Genomic DNA, 17,196 nt, shown 5'->3' on the forward strand with positions numbered 1-17,196 from the left:
TCTCTCTGAACTTGCATAGCACAGTGCAACAGACCGCACTCCCTGGGTGCCAGCTCAGTCATTTGCATTTGAGATTGGTTTTTTATTTTAATTATCACTCGCTTCCCCTTTGGAATTGAGAGGCTCAGAGATGCCGTTATGCATGATATGATTTTGTTAAGAGGCACATAATTGCTTCTGAGTATTTTCATGAGGTGCTTCTCAGAGCAGCTTAATATCATGCACTCATGGCATAGCAACAGGGAATGCAGCTGGGGAACAAAAGCTGGTCACCTCTGTGGCACACACAGAGTCACTGTGACTGTTGGAGGGGTTGACCGGGTGACGCCGTGGGCAGGGCCTGACTCAGTGATGTCAGGGAAGGTCTGTTTCTGCAGTGCCCGTGCTTGGCGGGGGGATGGGCAGGGGACAGCTGATGCGGGGACCGCACTGCAGCACACTGCAGCACAAAGCCACCTCCACGGGCAGCAGGCAGGCTCGCTCCAGGCTGACCACAGCTCAGAGAGCACCTTTGGTGCTTTTCTGCCCCTTTGTCTGCCACCGGATGTTGATCTTGGCCACTCAGTTGCAGATTGGTTCCAGAGTGCTCTGGAACAAGTGAAATGGATGCTGAAAACTCGTTAACCAGATGCAAGATTTGTAGACTTGCAGAAGAAATCACAGATCTGTGGCTATGGAGGTTTAAAATTCAGTCAAGTCATTTCAATGGGATGCATAACGATCTCCAAGTAGGTTCCGAGATCAATGGTTGTCTGGCTTAGCAGCATCAGGAATAAGCAGAGGAGTTTATAATATCCTGCAAAGGGCAACTGCCATGCTGCTTGGAACTGAACTCTAACTGAAGAGTCAACTTCTTAGGCTTCACATGGAAGAGACCTGTGATCTGCAAGATTTCAGATTTCTAACAAAGAGGCATGGCATCTGGAGTAAAGACACCAGCGCAACCTCTGTAGTCATCTTGTGTTTTCTGCTGGTGGTCACAGGATGAGAACGGCCGTGTGCAGGTTACCCCACACAGTGTGTATTCAGAGTTACCTCCCTGTGGGAAGTTGCCACTGAGTGAGACACTTAGTGGCAGGATCCTCCAAGTTTGCCTGTGTCTGTCCATCCATAGTTGTGCAATTGGAAGGAAGACGTTATTTTTCGCTTTAAAAGAGGAAGTATCTTTCTTGCATTGTTGTTCCTGGAAGTAGTTTATTAGAAATTAATATGAGGAATCTTTTTTTTTCTTTTTTTTTTGAGACAGAGTCTCACTCTGTCACCCAGGCTGGAGTGCAGTGGTGCCATCTCGGCTCACTGTAACCTCCACCTCCTGAGTTCAAGCGATTTTCCTGTATCAGCCTCCTGAGTAGCTGGGACTACAGGCATACACCACCACACCCAGCTAGCTTTTTTTGTGTTTTTAGTAGAGACTGGGTTTCACCATGTTGGCCAGGCTGGTCTTGAACTCCTGACCTCAAGTGATCTGTCTCAGCCTCTCAAAGTGGTGGGATTACAGGCGTGAGCCACCTTGCCTGGCCAGAAAATAATATCAAGATTCTTAAAAAGCAACCTTCCTCTTGCTTTTGTGTTTTAGTAAAGTAAAATCAGTTTGATCTGAAGTGAGGACTGAACTGCTGACTGGGTATTGACTGTCTTTTGAGTAGAGCTAAGCTTTCTAGAGAGTGAGAATATTGTCTCCTTCTGGTAAGACTGCCTCATGCCTATGCATCTTTTCTTCCCATCACCCTTCCTTCTTCTTGGCGTATCTGGTTATACTCCCAGCCCTGGGGCCAGACAGATGGGTTATCTCCATGTGCCTCAGTTTTCTCATCTGGAAAATGAGGATAATAACAACACCTACCTCACGTGATGGTTGTGAAGAGTAAATGAGTTAATATCTGCACAGTGACGCAGTGGTGCCTGGTGTGCAGGAAGCATTCTGTGAGTGCTATCTCTGCCTGTTGTTTTCTCTCACATGGAACCGTCGTACGCTTTGCTCGCTAGTCTTGGAATTTATAGTCAGGATGGTAAGGAGTGGTGATAAAATATTTCTTCTCCAGATTATCCCTTTGCATGATTCAGATGACTGTATTTTGAAAATAGTTATGTTCTCAACAGTTGGAGGAGAAATATGTGGTCACAGCTGTTCAGTCAGCTTCCACAGACATTGACTTCATTTGTCTAAAGATGATGGTGATGGCAAGCATGCTAACCTAGGATTTATCATGTTCTGAGCACTTACATAGATTAACAGCCCTCTGAGGTAGGTGTAACTACTGTCCCCATTTAAGGGTTGAGGAAACGGAGGCATGAAAGGTTTTGTTCTAAGTTCAAAGCTACACAGCTTTTATATGGCAGAGCCAGGGCTCTGCACAGCCATTCACTGGTCTGACTCCTGCACACCTCCAGCTCTATCGTCTCCTGCGTCTCCTGCTCTCCCTCCCTCTGTGCTCCAGCCACACGGTCTTCTGCTCCCTGAAAGCCCTGCCTCAGGGCCTTCGCATGTGCTATTACCAGGCCTCAGTTCTGGACATGTTTGGCTCTTTCTCATCATTCTGAGCAAACTCGAAGTGTCACCTTTCCTGACTTGTCTAAACTCTGTCCCCATCCCATCCCTCCTTATTACGTTATCCTGCCTTCTTCACTTACCAAGGCCTGCCTGTGCTAGAGTAGGGAGAGACCTCCCCTCTTCGCTATTGAATATCTGGCACAGTGTTCCTTAAAATTTGTGAGGTGTGGCCAGGCACGGGGTTTCAGCCTGTAATCCCAGCACTTTGGGAGGCTGAGGCGGGCAGATCACTTGAGGTCAGGAGTTCAAGACCAGCCTGGCCAACATGGTGAAACCCCGTCTCTACTAAAAATACAAAAAAGATTAGCTGGGCCTGGTGGCATGTGCCTGTAGTCCCAGCTACTTGGGTGGCTGAGCCAAGATAATCGCTTAAACTCAGGAGGCGGAGGTTGCAGTGAGCCAAGATCATGCCATTGCACTCCAGCCTGGGCAACAGAGTGAGATTCCATCTCAAAGTCTCAATCTCTCTCTCTCTCTCTCTCTATATATATATATATATATTTAACATATATATGATATATATGTCATAAGCGTATATAGATATACATATATGAAGCGAGCGTGGGCATGATTGATTTTAACATCGATTTAACTCCTCTTATGTACATGGATAGGTGACCCAATTCTAACATGTGTATGTTTGTGTGTGCATGCACATGTGTGTGTAAATGCAGGAATGTGGAGAGACGTGTTCTAATCTTAGTAAAGTGGTACAGAATCACAACGTGTTTTCTCTTTGAGTTTCAATCCTAGCTCCAACAGTAATTCCTGTTGTTTCTCTGATGTAGAAGTGAAGTACCTATTTATGTTTGTCTCCGATGAGACATGGGTTAAAAGAAATGTGGGGCTGGGCGCAGTGGTTCATGCTTGTAATCCCAGCAGTTTGGGAGGCCGAGGTGGGCAGATCACGAGGTCAGGAGTTCAAGACCAGCCTGGCCAACGTAGTGAAACCCCGCCTCTACTAAAAATACAAAAATTAGTGAGGTGTGGTTGCAGGCATCTGTAGTCCCAGCTACTTGGGAGGCTGAGGCAGGAGAATCACTTTAACCCGGGAGGCAGAGGTTACAGTGAGCTGAGATTGCGCCATTGCACTCCAGCCTGGGCGACACCATGACACTCTGTCTCAAAAAAAAAAAAAAAAGAAAAGAAAGAAATGTGGCTGAGTACGGTGGTTCACACCTGTAATCCCAGCACTTTTGATTCCTTGAGCCCAGGAGTTTGAGACCAACCTGGGCAACATGGTGAAACTCCATCTCTACAAAACAAAAACAAAAACAAAAATTAGCTGGGCATGGTGGTGCACACCTATGGTTCCATCTGCTCGGGAGGCTGAGATGGGAGGATGGCTTGAGCCTGGGAAGTGGAAGTTGCAAATAAGCCTAGATCACACCAATGCACTCCAGTCTGGGCGACAACGTGAGACTGTCTCAAAAAAGGGTGTAACAGTCTCAGGCACTGAATGATGCTATTCCTGAAATAAATTATAAAAGCTAGAGCTTGGCTCAGGAAATAAAATTTAAAACAATTTTTTTTTGTAAAAACTCAGTGTTTTGGTAAAAGATATACTACCTTTTTTTTTTTTTGTCTAACATACCTTCCTTTCTTGCTGTGATTGCTTTCTTCTACTAGTTTAATTTAAATTGTATTTATTTATTTTACTTGCTCTAGAGGGCTCTCTACCAGATCTCATGTCAGGGTTTCCGTTGGGGAATTTGACAAAGAAACTAGGGGGCAGGAACCTGAACCTCTTTTTGATCTTTGACAAAAAGAGAATTTCTGGTCTTTTATCCGAGAACTTCGGGCTGCTGAAGGTGCCACCATCCTGTGTGAGGTGGTGACAGATTCACGATCGTGCTGGGGAACTCTGGCTGGCGGAGACCTCTCTGGTTTGGTGAAGTTACGGACGGCATTTGGATGCTGGTCCCGCAAGGCTGGCGAGGCCACGTGTTGACTGCTTTTCTTCCAGAACACAACCTCACTCTTCCTCCTGCTCTGCCCTAGATAACCAGTTCAGGATGTCCATCCTGGAACGACTGGAGCAGATGGAGAGGAGGATGGCCGAGATGACGGGGTCCCAGCAGCACAAACAGGCGAGCGGAGGCGGCAGCAGTGGAGGCGGCAGCGGGAGCGGGAATGGAGGGAGCCAGGCACAGGTACGAGGCGGTGCTGATGCTCAGCTCCCATTTCGCTTCATGTTTATGGATTGGCGAGGCAGTGGATGGATCACAGGCCTCTTCTCTGCTGCTGATGCGGTCCCTGTATTCAGGCAGAAGGCCTGAGGGAGTACTTTACGGTACCTGTGCTTTTAAGCATTATAATCTGTGCAGTATGGAAGAAGCCTTGGAATGTGGAGCTTCTCAGTTGTTTACCCCCCTAATCCTTAAGTTATCTCTATTAATCTCAGAATTCACTACTAAATTACAGGGCAGTGGGAATTAAGGACAACCAATTGAAAAATAGAGGCTGGCTGGGCATGGTGGCTCACGCCTATAATCCCAGCGCTGTAGGAGGCCAAGACGGGAGGATTGCTTGAGCCCAGGAGTTCACGACCAGCCTGAGCAACATACTGAGACCCTGTCTCTATAGAAAAAAAAAATTTTTTTTAATTAGCCAGGCGTGGTGGGACATCCCTGTGGTCCCAGCTACTCAGGAGGCTGAAGTGGGAGGATCACTTGAGCCCGGGAGGTTGAGGCTGCAGTGAGCCATGATCACTCCACTGCACTCTGACCTGGTCAACAGAATAAGACCCTGTCTCAAAAAGAAGAAGAAGAAAAAAAAAGGCCAGATGGTGACTTAGACCTGCTAGGGTTCAGAATTAATTTAGAATCTTCCTACTTTCTATTCTGTATTTTATCCCTATCTTAAGTGTAGGTATAAAACATAATTGAATTCAGTAATTCATAAGCCTTTTATAAACTCAAGGTCAGTATGAAAAGAGCCCAGAGAAAGTGTTTATGTAATGATTCAGTGTAGAATGACATTATACATTACAGCCTCTTTCACAAACTTTCTGTAAGTTCCATAAAGAATGTATGATATTGCCAAGTACGAGTAAATTACCAAACATTGTTTCAGAGTCCCATTGGTCTTGAAGGCTTTATATACATTTCATTTAGGAAGTTCATTTTTGGGAAGTCTCCCAGGGAGAAATTATTTCTCAGGGGACCCTAGAGATAAATTTAAAGGAACTGATGGTATTTCTTATCTCCACTACTCAGTCGTTGCAAAAAAAACCTCAAATAATGCCCCCTCTTTCTCTTCAAGACAAATGATGATTTCCTTTACACAGTTAAGTTTTTAGGTGAATATTTTTGGTTTTATGAACCTCATAAATATCAAGTTTAGTTATATTTTAAATAATAGGTTAAAAGAACATCATATGCCACACCCAAAAGGCTAGCCTCCTTCCTCCCCGTGTTTTCATATTGCTCCCCTGTCTTCAGAAATCAGCAGGAAAGAAACAACTTGGCACGCAGTAGAATATTATTAAGGCTAAGATAGGCTTCTTTTTTTTCTTTTTGACACGAAGTCTTGCTCTGTCGCCCAGGTGCAGTGCAGTGACACAATCTTGGCTCACTGCAGCCTCCGCCTCCGAGGTTCAAGCGATTCTCCAGCCTCAGCCTCCCAAGTAGCTGGGATTACAGGCATGGGCCACCACGCCTGGCTAATTTTGTATTTTTAGTAGAGACGGGGTTTCCCCACCTTGGTCAGACTGGTCTCGAACTCCCAACCTCAGGTGATCCGCCTGCCTCGGCCTCCCAAAGTGCTGGGATTACAGACATAAGCCACCGTGCCCGGCCGATAGTACTAAGTTTTATAAAAGAAGTAATCATTGTTTAATTTACCTCATGGCTCACATAAGAGATCTCCTTAAAATACTTTTCCTTTCACCAACAAAAGTGGCATAAAAGGAATGGTATGTAATGTCATTTTAAAGCTCAGCCACTACGCAGCTGGCTCAAACGCTATGCAACTGGCCTAGAATCTCATCCCATGTTAACCACTACTGAATATCCTTTCATCAGTTTAAGTTGCCTTCAGTAAATGTCCGTGTTTGCCATGCGGGATAGAGACATGACTGTTTTTGTTTAATACAAAAAAAAAAAAATTCCCTTTTCGTTCACTCTGGCCATTTCCATGTGCTCATGAATGTGTCTTGTGTGTGTAGAATGGCTGTGCCTTGGCCTTTTGAGTCAAGGTCAGTTTGCGGCATGTTGGGATCACCTAACTCTGCTCCTGTAGGTGTTTTTACAGCTTTGATGAGGCTGAGATAACAATCCCATCATCTGCCTTTTTTATTTTGGGAGGCATTTTTTCCACATTTAAAAATAAAAATCAGCGAGGAGCCATAGTATTTCTGTAGTAAGTAAAGTTTATGGAGTTTATTGCCAGAAAAAAAAAGTACTTTTTAAGTAACACCAGAGATACAAATTAGCCTAGAGGTGCCATTTATTTGGGGGAGTGTTAAACATAAAACTGCTATCACAGAGACTCACATAAGCTGTTGAAGTTACTAACTTTCATTTTATTTTTCTTCCATTACAACTGGTTCATAGGAAGTAACCCATGTGGTTAAAATTAGTAAACTTCTCTTTCCTATAGCCCTTATTGTTATTAATAACACTTAAATTTCAGGATCTCTAAATGCTTTTCTCAGTATTCTTTTTACTTTACATAAAGGACTGGATTATTGGATACTTCTAGTCATTTCTTTAAGGAAAAAACAGTCCGCATCTAAGTGATCTAATTCTCCTTCAGAAGAAGCAAGAGGCTGGGCGCGGTGGCTCATGCCAGGAACCTAGCACTTGGGAGGCTGAGGCAGGCAGATCACTTGAGATCGGGTGTTCGAGACCAGCCTGGCCAACATGGTGAAACCCTATCTCCGCTAAAAATACAAAAATTAGCTAGAAATTGCTTGAACCTAGGAAGCAGAGGTTGGAATGAGCCAAGATCGTGCCACTGCACTCCAGCCTGGGTGACAGAGCGAGACTCTGTCTCAAAAAAAAAAAAAAAGAAAAAAGAAGAAGAAGAAAGAGAGTGAAAGAGCCGCTATACCCGCCAGTGGAAACATTAGGAAAGCTACTCTGCTCCACTGTCTCACAACAGTTTACTGCCTACAGGAAGGCTAGAACCACTTTTTTTTGTTTAAGGCTGTGTACACTTTCCCCAAGACGAATCGGCATGAAGTTCCTAATCAGAGTGTCAGCCCTAATAGATAGACTCGTGTCTGTAGAGCTGTGGACTTCAGAGAAGTGCTACTGAGCTGAAGCTAAGCACATTCTAGTCTCAATTTCATGGATGGTTCTTGGGGGTTTGGGTTTTTTGTTGTTGTTGTTGTTTTTTGAGACAAGGTCTTGCTCTGTCACCCAGGCTGGAATGCAGTGGCGCGATCACAGCTCACTGTAGCCTCAACCTCTCCAGGCTCAGGTGATCTTCCCACCTCAGCCTCCCGAGTAGCTGGGATTACAGGCACCCACCACCACGCCTGGCTAATTTTTGTATTTTTAGTAGAGATGGGGTTAGGGTTAGGGTTGGCCAGGCTGGTCTCGAACTCCTGACCACAAGAGATCTGCCCGCCTCAGCCTCCCAAAGTGCTGGGATTTCAGGCATGAGCCACTGTGCGCAGCCTAAATTTTGTACTTTTTGTAGAGACAGGGTCTCACCATGTTGCCCAGGCTGGTCTCAAACTCCCGAGCAATCCTCCCACCTCGGCCTCCCAAAGTGCTAGGATTTCAGGCATGATCCAGCATGCCCAGCCAATGTTTCTTTATTTTCAGTGTTTTATGTTTTCCGTTGTGAGTTTCTAATCGTAAAGCATTTGTTTCCCCTACATCGAAGCGCTGATGGGGTCGAGGGCCTTTAGTCCTGAGGTCGTAACGTGCGCTTTTTTGTGACAGTGTGCTTCTGGGACTGGGGCCTTGGGGAGCTGCTTTGAGAGCCGTGTGGTCGTGGTATGCGAGAAGATGATGAGCCGAGCCTGCTGGGCGAAGTCCAAGCACTTGATCCACTCAAAGACTTTCCGCGGAATGACCCTACTCCACCTGGCCGCTGCCCAGGGCTATGCCACCCTAATCCAGACCCTCATCAAATGGCGGTAAGGCTGTGGTGCAGCTGGCTGGGGGTCAGCCTCGCACATCCTCGCTCACATTCTTCCTGAGCACTGCCACCCGTGGAAGAAATCTACCCATTCAGTCCACTTTATAGCCGGCGAGCAAAGGGCTTTGTCCTTGGACAGTTTCCAAGGGAGTTTTATAAACTTCTTCCCAAGAAATACCCAGAGAGATAAGAATTAAATGTTGGACTTGTCATTTTCTTTGGACCCCTAGCCAAATGGAGCGTCCACACTGCCCTGGGACTCTGTTTCTTCACCATGGGGATGTTATATACCCAGTTGGGTTTCATCTTGGTGGGGTTTTATAATATTCTGGTGTTTCCTTTTAACGGTGGTGAATAGTGTGGTAATTTCTGGTGCTCTCCCTTATAGTACAAAGCACGCGGATAGCATTGACCTGGAACTGGAAGTTGACCCCTTGAATGTGGACCACTTCTCCTGTACTCCTCTGGTAAGGAATGGATTCCTGTAGCCCCCCCTTGCTGTTCTTCCAGTCTGGCATAGGATTTGCCTGGTTCCCACCGTTGTCTCTTGCTGACACATGGCATGTTTCGGAGATACTTTGGGATGGGAATCTTCAATGGCCCCACCGAGATTGCCAGCAAGGACCAGTTTGTCAGTTGGCAGCAATGGCAAAAGTCAGGTCTGGTCTTGACCTCTGATTGAGAACGCTTGCTGTGTCTCCCTGTCTTCTAGATGTGGGCGTGTGCCCTAGGGCACTTGGAAGCTGCCGTCGTGCTGTACAAGTGGGACCGTCGGGCCATCTCGATTCCCGACTCTCTAGGAAGGCTGCCTTTGGGAATTGCCAGGTCACGGGGTCATGTGAAATTAGCAGAGTGTCTGGAGCACCTGCAGAGAGATGAGCAGGCTCAGCTGGGACAGAACCCCAGAATCCACTGTCCTGCAAGCGAAGAGCCCAGCACAGAGAGCTGGATGGCCCAGTGGCACAGCGAAGCCATCAGCTCTCCAGAAATACCCAAGGGAGTCACTGTTATTGCAAGCACCAACCCAGGTAAGAATTCAGAATCATGACATCTCAGAGCTTGACAGAGATCCCGTTTGCTTTCATGCAGCTGCCCTCAGCAGAGTCCATAGGATAGTCACATACATTTCAGTTTTTTTGTTAATGTTTCTGATTTTTCTTTAAGAATGCCTAGTGCTGCCCCCTCCCCCAGTACAGAAGAAAGTAGCAAAAATTCTATGTTCATGCAAGAAATACATAATTTTGGAGGAGGAAGATCTGAATCTGGTGTATGCTACTGGGGATATTTAAATGTTAGGGACGTGTCTTGAGTTCCGGCTTTGCACTTTGTGTCTCTCAGGCATAGAGAAAGTGTTGATTCTTGAGGATTCCTAGTTGTATCTCCTGTCCTGACTATCCTTTCTACTGTACTTTTCAGAGCTGAGAAGACCTCGTTCTGAACCCTCTAATTACTACAGCAGTGAGAGCCACAAAGATTATCCGGCTCCCAAAAAGCATAAATTGAACCCTGAGTACTTCCAGACAAGGCAGGAGAAGCTGCTTCCCACTGCACTGAGTCTGGAAGAGCCAAATATCAGGAAGCAAAGCCCTAGTTCTAAGCAGTCTGTCCCCGAGACACTCAGCCCCAGTGAAGGAGTGAGGGACTTCAGCCGGGAACTCTCCCCTCCCACTCCAGAGACTGCAGCATTTCAAGCCTCTGGATCTCAGCCTGTAGGAAAGTGGAATTCCAAAGATCTTTACATTGGTGTGTCTACAGTACAGGTGACTGGAAATCCGAAGGGGACCAGTGTAGGAAAGGAGGCAGCACCTTCACAGGTGCGTCCACGGGAACCAATGAGTGTCCTGATGATGGCTAACAGAGAGGTGGTGAATACAGAGCTGGGGTCCTACCGTGATAGTGCAGAAAATGAAGAATGCGGCCAGCCCATGGATGACATACAGGTAAAAAGCAGGGACAGGGTAAGCCCGCAGAGGCTGGTGCGTTCCAGTTGCTGTGATCTTTATGGTCCATTTCCGAAGGTTGTGTCATTTTCCTCCCCGTGAAGCCTTCGAAGTTGGCTTTGTGCAGAACATCGTTGGAGTATCTTCTTTCCTTGGGGCCACATTTTCATTCGGTGAATCGGGCACCGGGAGTAGGGCCTGAATACCAGTGACCCCGGTCTCAGCAAAGCCTTCCCTCTTTGTACCAACTTCTCAGAACTCACTGAGGACCCTACAGTACGTCATCTGCTTCCTCCTTGCATTTAGGTTGATTGATTTCACTGTTTTAAGTACTAGTTACTAGTTAGAATATAGTCAAGACCTAAAAATAGCTAGAACAGGAAGCCCGTGGATAGATTTTGAATTATCTGAGTGACCTTGATCGGCATAGCTATCATCTAGCCATTGTAAAGGGCATATATGGCGTGAGGCTCTCACGAGGGCAGCGAAATATTCCTGAAGCTGATAATTGATTGCCCTTATAATAAATCTAAAAATTCCAGAATCTTTTCAGGACCTTAAACTTGTTATGGACTAAGAGAATATATACCAAAATAAACTTGACATTAGGCTAATAAGCAAATTCCATCTATTAAAATATGTAGGGGAGGACCATAAGGGCAGCCTAAAAACATGTTTGAATTCCTCTCTTTCCAACTTCCCATTGATGCAACCTAAAACAAACGTAAAAGGGAAAAAAAACGACTCAGAATTCAACAGGGCACCCATGCCTGTAGAAGTGATACAAGGAGAGGGAGGTGTGTGGAGGAGATCATATGTCCTGGTCAGCATATCTTGGGAGAGGCCTGATTTCTGAGCCATTCCTGCTCATTGCATCCCAGGGACCCCTTCATGCCAGCCCTCTGCTGTTTGCAGAGGATGAGAAAGAAGCTTGCATGCTCACCAATGTGTTCCCATTTCTGGGGAGTTGCCGGGGGCACCACTTCTGACCTACCGTATTAGTCCATTCTCACGCTGCTGATAAGGACATACTCCAGACTGGGGAATTTATAAAGAAAAAGAGGTTTAATGGACTTACAGTTCCACGTGGTTGGGGAGGCCTCACAATCATAGCAGAAGGCGAAAGTCACATCTTATATGGTGGCAGGCAAGAGAGAATGAGAGCCGAGTGAAAGGGGAAACCCCTTATAAAACCATCAGATCTCAAGAGCCTTCTTCACTACCACGAGAACAGTATGGAGGAAACCACCCCCGTGATTCAGTTATCTCCCACTGGGTCCCTCCCACAATACGTGGGCATTATGGGAGCTACAGTTCAAGATTAGATTTGGGTAGGGACACAGCCAAACCATGTCACCTACTGACCACCGCAGTTTCCCTACCACAACACATGGGAATTATGGGAGCTACAATTCAAGATGAGATTTCGGTGAGGACAGCCAAACCATATCACCTACCGACCACTGCAGTTTCCCTACCACAACACATGGGAATTATGGGAGCTACAGTTCAACATGAAATTTGGGTGGGGACACAGTCAAACCATATCACCTACCGACCACTGCAGTTTCCCTACCACAACACATGGGAATTATGGGAGCTACAGTTCAACATGAGATTTTGGTGGGGACACAGCCAAACCATATCACCTACCAACCACTGCAGTCATAGGGAGGACTGCCCAGAAAAATCAAATAATGTTTTAGACAAGAGTCTGGTACATTTCTTCTATAAAGAGCCAAGTAGTGAATATTTTTAGGTTCTGTAGGCCATACAGACTTTGTCCTAGCTACTTAATCGGCCCTAACAGCACCAAAGCAGCCTTAGCATTAAACGGAGGAGTGTGGCTGTTTCCTAGTAAAACTTTATTTACATAAACAGGCAGCTGGCTGAATTCAGCCTGCCATCATTTGCCAAATCCTGTTTTACACAATTCCTGATGGAACCCACACCAGACACCAAAACTGAGCAATCTAGAACTATATAAACATAAATATCTAGGAATAAGTTAGATTACATCGAAAATCAGCAGCTCAAAAGAGGGGAACCAACTGAGCATCGAGAACAGTACCATCCACTAGACCTTCCCACAGTGGTGGACGTGCCTTCTATCCATACCACGCACCGTGGGAGACACTTGGTGCCACATGTGGAATCGGGCACTTGATCAGCATGGCTGTCATCTAGCTATTGTAAAGGGCATATGTATGAAATATAGCCAGTGCAACTCAGGAACTGGGTTTCTAATTTTATTTAAGTTTAAATAGCCATTGGATAGAGCAGCTTTTTGAAAGTGGCCTTCACTGAAACAGAGTTCATGCAGGAAATAGAAAATAACCTTTAAAAAATCCACTTCCTATTTTCACAGATCTGTTAGAGAATAACATCTTGCCAAATTAAGAGCATGTGTCTATGAAAAAAGCAGCAGTCTAAAGAAAGTTTTTTAGCCAAATGAGAAGATAACACTTAAAAATAATGAAATAATTTTAGAAAAAGTGGCAAAACCGTTCATAGAGGAGTGAACAATCAAACAGTAAAACTGAGCAATTATCGATAGTGTGGTATATGTGAGAGGAATTTGTTAGGAAGGGACTCTTTAAATAGAAGACGAATAATGTTTAAACTATCTCCTAGAACTAAAATTCTAAATTATTTTAACAAAACCAGGGAGTGTAGGGAAATGAAGAGAGTAAAAGTGTATGAAAGCTCTCGGGTTCAGGGACAGTAACAGATTTTGTTCCACTCGTGATATAGATAGATGTGCGCTGGATAGGCTGAAATATGCTAGTTAGAAATGTTGGCCGGGCGCGGTGGCTCACACCTGTAATCCCAGCACTTTGGGAGGCCGAGGCGGGCGGATCACGAGGTCAGGAGATCAAGACCATCCTGGCTAACACGGTGAAACCCCGTCTCTACTAAAAATATAAAAAATTAGCCAGGCATGGTGGCGGGCACCTGTAGTCCCAGTACTCGGGAGGCTGAGTCAGAAGAATGGCGTGAACCCAGGAGGCAGAGCTTGCAGCTAGCCGACATCGCACCACTGCACTCCAGCCTGGGCGACAGAGCGAGACTCTCTCTCAAAAAAAAAAAAATGTTAAGTTGGTAGGTAGCATAAAAACGGGCTACAGAAGGACAGGTGCGGTGGCTCATGCCTGTATTCTTAGCATTTTGGGAGGCCAAGGTGGGAGGATCACCTGAGTTCAGGAGTTCGAGACCAGCCTGGCCAACATGGTGAAACTCCGTCTCTACTAAAAATACAAAAATTAGCCAGGTGTGTTGGCAGGTCCCTGTAATCCCAGCTACTCGGGAGGCTGAGGCACAAGAATTGCTTGAACCCTGGAGGTGGAGGTTTTGCTGTGTTAGCCAGGATGGTCTCGATCTCCTGACCTTGTGATCTGCCTGCCTCCACCTCCCAAAGTGCTGGGATTACAGGTGTGAGCCACCATGCCCGGCCTCGGGTTGTTTTTTTTTTTTTTTTTAAATAAAAGCAGGATATACTATATGCTACTTGTAAGAAATACAATCAAAATGAAATGAAAGAGAAACAATGAAAATGAAATGATAGATAACAGCTATAATAGATAAACGAGTATAAAAAGAAAGATAAAAAGTACAATTCAAGGCAAATTAATGTGTGTGTGTATATATACATATATATATACATACAGTTTATCTAGAAGATATGACAGTTATAAACTATTGTGTACCTAGCACCATAACCTTGAAACATTACAGCAAATACTAGTAAATACAAAGAAATGTGGACCCATAATCACAGTGTGCTACTAACACACATAGCTCAGAATTTTTCAGATCAAGTAGATATGAAAAGCATATGAACAAGTTGAACAACAAAATCAGAAGGCTTGATTTCATATATATTTACTATATGATAGATTTAATATATGATATACTTATATATAACTATATGTGTGTATGTAGTTAATACACATAGCAACTACGTATATAATTGTTCTTTTCAGGTGTCCAAGGCATGTTTATGAAAACTGCTCATATACTAGGACACGAAGAAAATTTGAATAAAAATCCAAAGCTACCCATTTAAAGGCCGTCTTCTCTGAGCACAATCCATGAAATTTAGAAATGAGTGACGTGACTTTTCAGGTCCAACTACTGAGAACGTTACTTAAGATGTTTTTACATTGTTACATGTTTATAAAATGGAGGATTTAGGAAAGTGATTGTAGAGTGATAACCTTTTAGGCTTCAGAAATTCCACCTTACTTTTAATATATTTGAATACTTTCATGGAAAAAGAATAAAGCAAGATTTACTTCCTACCGTTTGAGTCACAAATCAAGACGGCCAATAGAGAAGGTGAAAGAAAGCTGCAATTTTTTTTTGAGACAGAGTCTTGCTATGTCACCCAGGCTGGAGTGCGGTGGTGCCATCTTGGCTCACTGCAACTTCCATCTCCTGGGTTCAAGCAATTCTCCTGCCTTGGCCTCTCTAGTATCTGGGATTACAGATACTGTAAGAAAGCACTAGGCCTGCACCACCATATCTGGCTAATTTTGGGGGTTTTTTTGGGTAGAGACAGGGTTTCGCCATATTGCCCAGGCTGGGCTTGAACTCCTGAGCTCAGGCGATCCACCCGCCTCGGCCTCACAAAAGTGCTGAGATTACAGGCCTGAGCCACCACGCCTGGCCCAATATATTTTTCTTAAATTTTTTATTTTTATTGTTATTACAAAAACGAATTGTTCTTTGATGAAAATTTATAAAATTATCCACAATAAGCATTTTTAACAGCTTTATTGAGGTATAATTTACGTATGATAAAAAATTTATAAAATTATCCACAATAAGCATTTTTAACAGCTTTATTGAGGTATAATTTACGTATGATAAAATTTACCCATTTTAAATGCTCAGGGGATGGCTTCTAGTAAACATATACAGCTGAGCAACCATCACCATAGTCCCTTTCTAGAACACTTCCATCTCACTGCACGGTGCCCTGTGCCCATCTGCAGTCCGTCTCTGCCCAGCCTTAGGCAACCACTGATCTGATTCTATCCCCAGAGGTTTGCTTTTTCTAGACATTTCATGTAAGTGGAATCATGCACCATGCAGCCCACTGCGGCTGTTTCCACTTAGCAGGATGTTGTTGAGGCTCCTTCGTGTTGGCAGGAGAAGCATTTTGTCACTTTGTATAGTTCCATCGAGAACATTTTCAGTTCACTTAAGAACCCGAAGTGCTGTGTTTCAGTTACCACTCCTAAGAGGTATGCAAGGACATTTTTAAGAATCAGTCCACATCTCTGATTCTCATAAAGAATATCTTAATCCAGACCAGCTTTGAGGATTCTTTTTTTCTTTTCTTTTCTTTTTTTTTTCTGAGACGGAGTCTTACTCTGTCGCCCAGGCTGGAGTGCAGTGGCGCGATCTTGGCTTACTGCAAGCTCCACCTCCCAGGTTCATGCCATTCTCCTGCCTCAGCCTCCCGAGTAGCTGGCACTACAGGCGCCCGCCACCACGCCCAGCTAATTTTTTGTATTTTTTAATAGAGACGGGGTTTCACCGTGTTAGCCAGGATGGTCTTAATCTCCTGACCTCGTGATCCGCCAGCCTTGGCCTCCCAAAGTGCTGGGATTACAGGCGTGAGCCACTGCGCCTGGCCTCTTTTTTTTTTTTTTTTTTTTTGAGTTGGAGTCTCGCGCTGTCGCCCAGGCTGGAGTGCAGTGGCGCGATCTTGGTTCACTGCAACCTCCACCTCCCAGGTTTAAGTGATTCTCCTGCCTCAGCCTCCCACGTAGCTGGGATTATAGGCAAGCACCACCATACCTGGCTAATTTTTGTATTTTTAGTAGGGACAGGGTTTCATCATGTTGGCCAGGATGGTCTGGAACTCCTGACCTCAAGTGATCCACCCACCTCGGCCTCCCAAAGTGCTGGGATTACAGGCATGAGCCACTGTTCCCAGCCTAGACCGGGGTTCTCTAGGCCAGACAAAAGGGGGTGGTTAGATATTGGTTATGTAACTAATAGTGACACCTCATTAATATTACAGGTTACTCTAGAACTGCCCAGTGTCATTAATTGGTTGACCCTGAGAGTAGGGAGTACATACAAGCCAGAAGTTCTCCAAGACTGGACTAAAGGTTTGGGGCCAGACTATGACTTGGAGATAATCAGGTCTCAGGATCTCAGCACATTTTGGTGTGTTATGTTATAACCTTAAAATGGTATTTCATTGCATTGGATTGAGGTGGAAGTCTGCCCTCCTGCCTGATTATTTTTTTCTCTCCAAGGCGAGGCAGGGAGGTAGACCTGGATAACTTGTAAGGTTCCTTTCTAACCTGAGTGTTCTGTGAACTTCTGACTTCAGGTGAACATGATGACCTTGGCAGAACACATTATTGAAGCCACACCTGACCGAATCAAGCAGGAGAATTTTGTGCCCATGGAGTCCTCAGGATTGGAAAGAACAGACCCTGCCACCATTAGCAGTACAATGAGCTGGCTGGCCAGTTATCTAGCGGATGCTGACTGCCTTCCCAGTGCTGCCCAGATCCGGTGAGTAAAGTTACGGAGGTCACTACCCAGCATAGATTCCCGGATGTAATTGGAGGCAGGGGAGGCTGA

At 45.1% G+C, this 17,196-nt stretch overlaps 1 protein-coding gene across 42 annotated transcripts in view, besides 2 other annotated features; it reads left to right on the forward strand.

The window, feature by feature from the left end:
• CAMTA1 (calmodulin binding transcription activator 1) overlaps positions 1-17,196 on the forward strand; it is a 984,253-nt gene that overhangs the window by 942,442 nt on the left and 24,615 nt on the right. For 25 of the 42 annotated variants that reach the window (XM_011541084.3, XM_011541083.3, NM_015215.4 and 22 more), the window contains 6 exons: positions 4,553-4,704; positions 8,449-8,645; positions 9,036-9,114; positions 9,360-9,675; positions 10,064-10,587; positions 16,940-17,127. In XM_011541084.3, the coding sequence (XP_011539386.1) occupies positions 4,553-4,704; positions 8,449-8,645; positions 9,036-9,114; positions 9,360-9,675; positions 10,064-10,587; positions 16,940-17,127 (1,456 nt within the window). Of the gene's footprint in view, positions 1-443; positions 1,018-4,552; positions 4,705-8,448; positions 8,646-9,035; positions 9,115-9,359; positions 9,676-10,063; positions 10,588-16,939; positions 17,128-17,196 lie in introns of those variants that run through there. The other 17 variants (XM_011541090.4, NM_001349609.2, NM_001349610.2 and 14 more) reach the window with 2 other exon arrangements.
• Positions 5,500-5,700: a silencer, noted in NCBI's record as "peak40 fragment used in MPRA reporter construct". NCBI's record gives its function as "represses an SCP1 promoter by STARR-seq MPRAs in K562 erythroleukemia cells {active_cell/tissue: K562}" and the evidence as "EXISTENCE:reporter gene assay evidence [ECO:0000049][PMID:32103011]".
• Positions 10,071-11,270: an enhancer, noted in NCBI's record as "CDK7 strongly-dependent group 2 enhancer chr1:7798026-7799225 (GRCh37/hg19 assembly coordinates)". NCBI's record gives its function as "activates an origin of replication core promoter dependent on BRD2, BRD4, P300/CBP, MED14 and CDK7 cofactors, with strong dependence on CDK7, by STARR-seq in HCT116 cells {active_cell/tissue: HCT116}" and the evidence as "EXISTENCE:reporter gene assay evidence [ECO:0000049][PMID:35650434]".

This window comes from Homo sapiens, chromosome 1 (genome assembly GCF_000001405.40).
Source record: "Homo sapiens chromosome 1, GRCh38.p14 Primary Assembly".
Classification (NCBI taxonomy): Eukaryota; Metazoa; Chordata; class Mammalia; order Primates; family Hominidae; genus Homo; species Homo sapiens.